The sequence below is a fragment of the Homo sapiens genome, chromosome 8 (genome assembly GCF_000001405.40).
Source record: "Homo sapiens chromosome 8, GRCh38.p14 Primary Assembly".
In the NCBI taxonomy this organism is placed as follows: Eukaryota; Metazoa; Chordata; class Mammalia; order Primates; family Hominidae; genus Homo; species Homo sapiens.
In genome coordinates, this window is record NC_000008.11 from 80,233,748 (window position 1) to 80,241,958 (window position 8,211).

The 8,211-nt window shown below is 47.0% G+C and overlaps 1 non-coding gene across 1 annotated transcript, besides 2 other annotated features; it reads left to right on the forward strand.

Annotated features, from left to right (window-relative positions):
• Positions 6,988–7,047: a silencer, noted in NCBI's record as "silent region_19320". NCBI's record gives its function as "represses an Ori minimal core promoter by ATAC-STARR-seq in GM12878 lymphoblastoid cells {active_cell/tissue: GM12878}" and the evidence as "EXISTENCE:reporter gene assay evidence [ECO:0000049][PMID:35858748]".
• Positions 7,058–7,137: a silencer, noted in NCBI's record as "silent region_19321". NCBI's record gives its function as "represses an Ori minimal core promoter by ATAC-STARR-seq in GM12878 lymphoblastoid cells {active_cell/tissue: GM12878}" and the evidence as "EXISTENCE:reporter gene assay evidence [ECO:0000049][PMID:35858748]".
• Positions 7,642–7,726, forward strand: MIR5708 (microRNA 5708). The gene has a single exon (NR_049894.1). It is a non-coding gene; the product is annotated as a microRNA 5708 (primary transcript).
• Positions 7,727–8,211: the final 485 nt, after the last annotated feature.

Sequence of the window (8,211 nt, forward strand, 5' to 3'; positions counted from 1 at the left end):
TCAAAAAAAAAAAAAAAAAAAAAAAAAAAGCTGTAACACTCAGTGCGAGGGTCCGCGGCTTCTTTCTTGAAGTCAGTGAGACCAAGAACCCACGAATTCCGGACCCAGGAGGATTGCTTGAACTCAGGAGTTCGAGACCAGCCTGGGCAACAAAGTATAGTAAGACCCTGTTTCTGCAAAAAATGAAAAATGAATTAGCTGGGTGTGGTGGTGTGCACATGTAGTCCCAGCTACTGGGGAAGCTGAGGTGGCAGAATTACTTGAACCCAAGAGGTCAAGGCTGCAGTGAGCCCTGGCAGCACCGCTGTAGTCCAGCCTGGGTGACAGAATGAGACTGTCTCAAAAAATAAAAAAATTTTGTACCGATTAGTATCCACTTTCCATTCTCCTACCCATTGCCCATCCCTGAACAACCATTAATCTACTTGGTGTTTATAAATTTGACAATTCTAGACATTTTGTATAGATTGAGTCATATAATATGTGGCCTTTTGTGAATGGCTTGTTTCACTAACAATGATTCAAAGTTGTAGCATATATGAGTATTTCATTCCTTTTCATTGCTGAATAATATTCCATTGTATGAATATGCCATATTTTACTTACCCATTTGCCAGTTGGTGGACATTTGGGTTGTTTCCACTTTTTGGCTATTATAAGTAATGCTGCTGTAAGTGTTAATATGCAAGTTTTTGTGTAGACTTACATTTTCACTTCTCTTCAGTAGATATCTAGGGATGGAATTACTGGTTCATATGGTAAGAAAACTTCGTATCCCACCCCCAACTAAGAATAAAGATTAACAGGCCCAGCGCAGTGGCTTACACCTGTAATCCCAGCACTTTGGGAAGCCAAGGCAAGTGGATCACCTCAGGTCAGGAGTTTGAGACCAGCCTGGCTAACATGGTAAAACCCTCTCTCTACTAAAAATACAAAAATCAGCCATGTGTGGTGGTGCACTCCTGTAATCCCAGCTATTTGGGAGGCTGAGGCACAAGAATCACTTGAACCTGGGAGGCGGAAGTTGCAGTGAGCCAAGATTGCGCCACTGAGCTCCAGCCTGGGTGACAGAGCAAGACTCTGTCTCAAAAAAAAAAAAAAAAAAAAAAAAGAACGAAAGATTAACAGAGAAGAAAATTACGTTATCCTGATGACTGCTAAATACAGTCTTAATAGGATTATGATGAAGAGGTATTTAACAAATGATTCAGCCTTGATTCTTCAGGACCAAGAGCCCAGGTCTGATCTCTTTTTTTCTTGACAGTTCTAAGCATGGCCACCAGCATAAGTGTTACACAATCCTTCAAAGCATATTTTTCTAGCCCACTACGTAGAGTCACTCTCACTTGGAATTTTATTATTTCTAAGCTTTCCTAGAAGCAGGCAGAGTAGTAATTGTTATTTGTTTTTTGTTGTGGTTGTTGTTACTGTTGTTGTTGTTGTTTGAGACAGGGTCTAACTCTGTTGCCCAGGCTGGAGTGCAGTGGTGTAATCTCGGCTCACTGCAACCTCCGTCTCCTGGGCTCAAGCGATCCTCCCACCTCTGCATCAGTCCTGTAGCTGGGACTACAGGTGCAGGCCACCACACTCGGCTATTTTTTATAGAGGCGAGGTCTCTCTATGTTGCCCAGGCTGGTCTTGAACTCCTGGGCTCAAGCGATCTGCTGGCCTTGGCCTCCCAAAGTGCTGGGATTACAGATGTGAGCCACAGCACCTGGCCCAGTCATCCCTATTATATGATTTGTGAGGTTTTGTTTTTTCAAAGCCATAATATCCTATTAGTTAAATAATCAAGTAGAAATACCTCTTGAGCATTGACTCTCCACACAGTAAAGTGGCAACAACAGAAGAGGTAAGACAGAGCTCCTGTCCTGGAGGAGTTTATAAGCCTGTTGGGAAGAAAACTAAAATTGCAACTCAAAATATCACATAAGTGTACAAACATTTTCAGCAAGTCATTGTCTATAGAGCAGTGATAGCCAACGTTTCCAAGTCAAAGCAAACATAGACTATGAACATATTTCTATGGACACTGGGATGAACAAAGGGGCCTGCTGAGGAGAGGCCCCTGGCCTGCGATGGCCAGGCACCCCCACCTCCCTGATCTCACTACCACCTCTCACTGATAACCTATTGGGGCACATCCCAGTGGCAGCACACTTGTGGAAATCTTTTTTTTTTTTTTTTTTTTTTTTTTTGATACAGAGTTTTGCTCTTGTCACCCAGGCTGGAGTTCAATGGTGCTATCTTAGCTCACTGCAACCTCCGCCTCCCGGGTTCAAGCAATTGTCATGCCTCCTGAGTAGCTGGAATTACAGGAACCCGCCACCACGCCCGGTTAATTTTTGTATTTTTAGTAGAGATGGGGTTTCACCATGTTGACCAGGCTGGTCTTGAGCTCCTGACCTCAGGTGATCCACCCACCTTGGCCTCCCAAAGTGCGGGTATTACAGGCGTGAGCCACCGCGCCTGGCCAACTTGTGGAAATCTCTAGTTCACAGGATAACTTCCAAACATTTTTGCATGGCATTCAAGGCTCTCACAAACTGGCCTTAATCTACCTTTCCAACCATTTCTCCCATGAGCCCTCCACACCTAACAACCTGTCAGCTCACTGTCTTCAGAACATTCTGGGTACCCTCCCTGAAATGCGTTACCCTCCCCAAAATGAGCCCTCAGTCAATATTTATTCACTGGTTGATTCTCATCCCTACACTTTCTCTCACATAACTCTCATCAACTATTCAAATCCCTTCAAGTCCTCATCAAGTCCCCTGTCCCGGAGAGGCCTTCTCTGTCCCCTCCAGCCCACAGGAGTTGTTTCTTTCTCTGCATGCTCATGCTCATGTCTTTTAGTATTGACTCAACATCTTTGACCTGTGACAATACATAGCCTCATAGTTATTAAACTTTCAAGGGTATAACTGTGGCCTGCCCAGCCAGAGCCTAGACCAGCTCCTTTTGAGCATACATCGTGTCTCCAGCTGGGTGTCCATAGCACCTTCAGAAAGCCTGGGTAAAAGGATCAGGGAAGGGGGCTGGCCTAGACAGGTGCTTAGTGCAATGCTACCCCATTGCCATACAATCTGCTTTTCACCTATTACCCATTTCTTCAGTGCTTAGGTATTTACGTGCTTTCTCAGAACCTTTAAACAAAACCAAAACACCGTCTTGACAGAATAACATAAATTGAAACTATCCTGGACTGAACCAGGGTGTAAAGGTGACTATATTAACCCACAGAAGGCTGGGGCAGAGTACAAATTAACAGGCCCGTCTGTATGCTCAGCAGTAGCAGAAGGAGAAGGAGAGAGAGGGTGAGAGGGAGGAGGAAGAGGGAGAAAAGGGAAAAGAGGGAGAGTAGGGGGAGGAAGAAGAAGAGAGACAGAGTTTCACCATGTTGCCCAGGCTGGTCCCAAACTCCTGGGCTCAAGCAGTCTGCCTGCCTTGGCCTCCTGAAGTGCTGGGATTACAGGTTTGAGCCATGGTGCCCAGCCTAGCAATTTGTTTTCCTACTTACTGATTCCAAAATCTGCCCAGAATGCACCTGCGATCCTGGTACCTGGAACCACAGGCTGGCCACCCCAATCCTAATGGCACCTGTGATCAACAGCTTCTCTTTTCTAGAAACACGGCCAAAAAGGTGTTAGATCAAGAAGGAAATTATGGACTTTTGAAAACAGAGAAAAAGAGGCTGGGCACAGTAGCTCATGCTTGTACATCACAATATTTTGGGAAGCCAAGACAGCGTGATCACTTGAGCCTAGGAGTTTGAGACCAGACTGGATAATAAAGTGAGGCCCCTGTCTCTACAAAAAATTTAAAAATTAGCTGGGTGTGGTGGCATGTGGCTACAGTCCTAGCTACTTGGGAGACTGAGGTAGCAGGAGGATCACTTGAGCCTAGAAGATCGAGGCTGCAGGGAGCCATAACTGCGCCACTGCACTCCAGCCTGGGCAACAGAGCCAGACTCTGTCTCAATAAATAAATAAATAAATAGTTGGGTGCGGTGGCTCATGCCTGTAATCCCAGCACTTAGGGAGGCAGAGGCGGGCAGATTACCTGAGGTCAGGAGCTCGAGACCAGCCTGGGCAACATGGTGAAACCCTGTCTCTACTAAAAATACAAAAATTATCCTGGCGTGGTGGCGGGCATCAGTAATCCCAGCTTCTCAGGAGGCTGAGGTAGGAGAATCGCCTGAACACAGGAGGCAGAGGCTGCAGTGAGCTGAGATGGTGCCACTGCACTCCAGCCTGGATGACAGAGTGAGACTCCATCTCAAAATAAATAAATAAAACACAGAGAATCAAGAAGGGAAATGATGTTCATTTGTGAATGTTCCAGTGCTTTCTGTGGGCCATGCATTGTGGCAAAACCATGACCAATGTGAAGAGGAGCCTTCAGCCAGCTCACAGTGCAGGGGAGTGGGGAGGTGAAAACAACAAGGAGACATTTTAGCTGGGGAAGAATAGCACCAAGAGAGCGACCCCTCACCTTTGTACTTTAAATGTGTTCCACTTCATTGAATGGGGGAAATGAGCCTGGCAGAAGTTGGAGATGAGACTAGTACAGTGTGGCCTCTGCACCCAGGGCTTGGAGTTAGAAGAGGGATGGGTGTTCTGGATCCACAGCAGTTGATGGAACTTGTGCCCTCCCCTGCCCATCCCCCAGCTGCGTTGGAAATGCCACCACACTGGGATCCCTGGCTAACACAGCTGAGTGAGACACTGAGGGAAGTAGCAACCCACCCTCCCATCTCGAGGAAATGTTGCTTTATGGTGCACGAGTGGTGGTGGCTGCAGTGGAGCAGGAGGCTTAGCCTGAGCATCATTCCATTTTGCCAGATTTCAGTAGCCGCATCAGAGCTCTGGTTTCAGTAACCATGGTGTCAGCTGTGGGACTCTGGAGGCATCCAGCACGAGGAGTGTAGACTCTTCCAGCCTCAGTTCCGGCTTCTGTAAGTGAGGTAAGTGTATCTGGGGCTACCCCTTCGGATATACATGTGCATTCCTGGCACTCAGGTTCATAGCAGGGGAGTGGCCTCTGTCAAGGGTGAAGAAGCCCATCAAGGAAGATGGGACACCATGTGGAATGACATCATTTATACCCCAAGCAAAGGAAGCAGGATGTGTGGATAACATATATATATAAATATAAAATATTACATTACAATATAACATAATCAGTGTAATAACAAATATGTATAGGACACTGTGGGTGGACCTAATCAAGGCCCTGTGTACAACTAACCAAGTTGACACTGCACATCTCCAAGCCACAGAACTGTGCAGTGTCTAAGGTGGCCCTGTACCTAACCAGTTATATGTTATTAGCCCCATGTTAAGAGGCAGTGGCATATTGTAGTGGACACTATGCACATTTAAAAGTATCTGCTGTGTGATCTTGGGCAAATTCTAATTGACGTTCTGTAAAATGGGAATATTACCTATTTTAATGTATTGTCGCATTGTGATAATACATGCAATGGCTTACCCAGCACTATTTCAGATACATAGTAAATTATTTTTAAAATGTTAGCAGATGTATTTAAGCACAGGGAAACAAACCCAGAAAGAATGATTTGACCACATCAAAACCAATGACAAAAGTGAAGCCCGAGCCTGAATCTTCTGATTTTCTATCCACCAGTGGGTTTTCTCCCAAGGAAGCAATTCCCAAGACAAGAATTGTTTGAGAAAACTGCAACTGGATTTGCCTATACATGCAGCAGTAAACTTCAGTGAGCACCTGACCCTATTTTCAGGAGCAGCAGAAAGGCACATTTACCCCACACAGGTAAGAAGTGGTTTTCCTCCTCTGTAGCCCTCCTTTCTCCGGCCTTCCATTGGAGATCGGAAAGTCTTAGGAAAATGAGAGAGTATGGGTCACTATTTTCTATTTTCAAGTTTTCAGATCTTTAATCTGCAAATTTAGGTGATCCCAGCTCCGGAAAGAGCATCACACTTTTTTTTTTTTTTTTTTTTGAGACAGAGCCTCAGTCTGTCGCCTAGGCTGGAGTGCAATGTCACAATCTCGGCTCACTGCAACCTCGACCTCCCGGGTTCAAGTAATTCTCCTGCCCCAGCCTCCTGAGTAGCAGGGACCACAGTACAGGCAGCGCCACCACGCCTGGCTAATTTTTGTATTTTTAGTAGAGACGGGGTTTTGCCATGTTGGCCAGGCTGGTCTCCTGACCTCAAGCTATCTGCCCAACTCGGCCTCCCAAAGTTCTGAGATTACAGCATGAGCCACCACGCCGGCCACTTTTGACTTTTTTGACCAGCAAGCTTCCATCTGGAGCCTAGGCTCTCTTCTTTAGGTGCCCACAGCCCCAGGGGTGCACAGGCTGCTGAGCAGCTGCGGGCCCGCGGGGCTGGGAGCCCACCAGGGCCGCGTGTCCTGTGTGGCGCACAGTCCCAGTCATCCTAGGAGGCAGCCCTGAGTTCACACCTTCTCGTTCCTCTTTGTCAGAGCTCGGTTAGTGAGTGGGACACTAAAATAGCACTGCAAACATAATGAGAAAATGAAAACTGAGTTTACCAGAACTGCTTTCAGAGAAAGAGCTGGAAGCATTGGAGGGAATTCTTTGATAAGCTGCTTTGAGATGTGGTGGTGGGGGTGATACTCTCATGGGGGCAAACCTAATCTGTAACAGCAAAAGATCACCAAGCTGCCTTCCAAAAATGTCCCTGGATTGCAAGGCTGTGTTTTCCCAAGAGAATGGAAATTTGCCTTCAAAGGAGAGTTTGGTCACTGTCCCCAGGGAGGCTTCTTCGCAGTCTTTCAACATTCGGCAGGAAACCTATCAGTGTCCGGGTGACTACCTATTAACCTGCCCTGATTATTAACTGTGCCCAGGTCGAGACAGCATCAGGGTTGTGGTTCTACCAGGCCGTCTCTTTGCAGTCCTCGGCTTCTGTCAAAGTTGAACGCCATCCACCTCCCTTTTGGTTCCAGCCACAGAGGCGTGCCTTCCACAGAGGCGTGCTCCGCAGCGCCGCCCTCCAGCACTCCGCGCATCGGCCCAGGGTGCTGCCTGGCTCCCAGGCGCCGCCCTGCGGCCCCGCGCGTCCGCCTTTCCCTTCAGCCAGCCCCTGTGCTTCCCAGGACTCTGCTCTGGGCTCTGTCCTCCGCTCAGGATTGAGAGTCAGGGAATACAGAGAGTCTCTAGCCACTGTTGTTGGAGAGACCGACAAGGAGATGTCTCAAATGCCTTCGGGTTCTCTTCCCTTTTTTCTTCTACCACGGCTGCAGGCTGAGAGAGAGTCTCAATGACAAGAATATTGTGATTCAAGGGAAGCTTCAGTCAAGGGTAGGGAGGAAATACAGCAGAACACTGGAGAGAAAAAGAAATAATCTGGCATTAAAAATCAAGTTGCTTTTTGTTTGTTTGTTTGTTTTGAGACAGGGTCTCACTTTTGTTGCCCAGGCTGATCATGGCCCATTGCAGCCTCAACCTCCCAGGCACAAGTGATCCTCCCATCACAGCCTCCTGAGCAGCTGGGACCAAAGGTGTGCACCACCAGGGCTAGCTAGTTTTTAAAAATATTTGTGGAGATGAAGTCTCACTATATTGCCCAGGCTGGTCTCTAATTCTCTGCCTCAAGCAGTCCTACCACCTCACCTTCCCAAAGTGCTGGTATTACAGACATGAGCGACTGTGCCTGACCAAAAGTCAACATTAAACAACAAATCTTGGCCAGGCACAGTGGCTCATGCCTGTAATCCCAGCACTTTGGGAGGCCGAAGTGGGCAGATCACTTGAGGTCAGGAGTTGGAGACCAGCCTAGCCAACATGGTGAAGCCCCGCCTCTACTAAAAATACAAAAATTAGCTGGGTGTGGTGGCACATGCCTGTAATCCCAGCTGAGGCATTAGAATCGCTTGAACCTGGGAGGCAGAGGTTGCAGTGAACCAAGATCTCACCACTTTTATCCAGCCTTGGCAACAGCGAGACTCTGTCTCAAAACAAACAAACAAACAAACAAACAAACAACAACAACAACAACAAAAAATAAATGTCCACAAGATTGCAGGATCCCTTCCAAGGATCACACTTATTGTGAGGGTAGTGGGCATAGGGACTTGGCTGGAAAGAATGAAAAACAGAGACTGTAACCCATTCTTGGTGAATAAGGTTGTCTTATACCTGTATATCCTTTCCAACAAACCTGAAAACACTTGACAGGACTTAGATTTGATTTCTGAAAA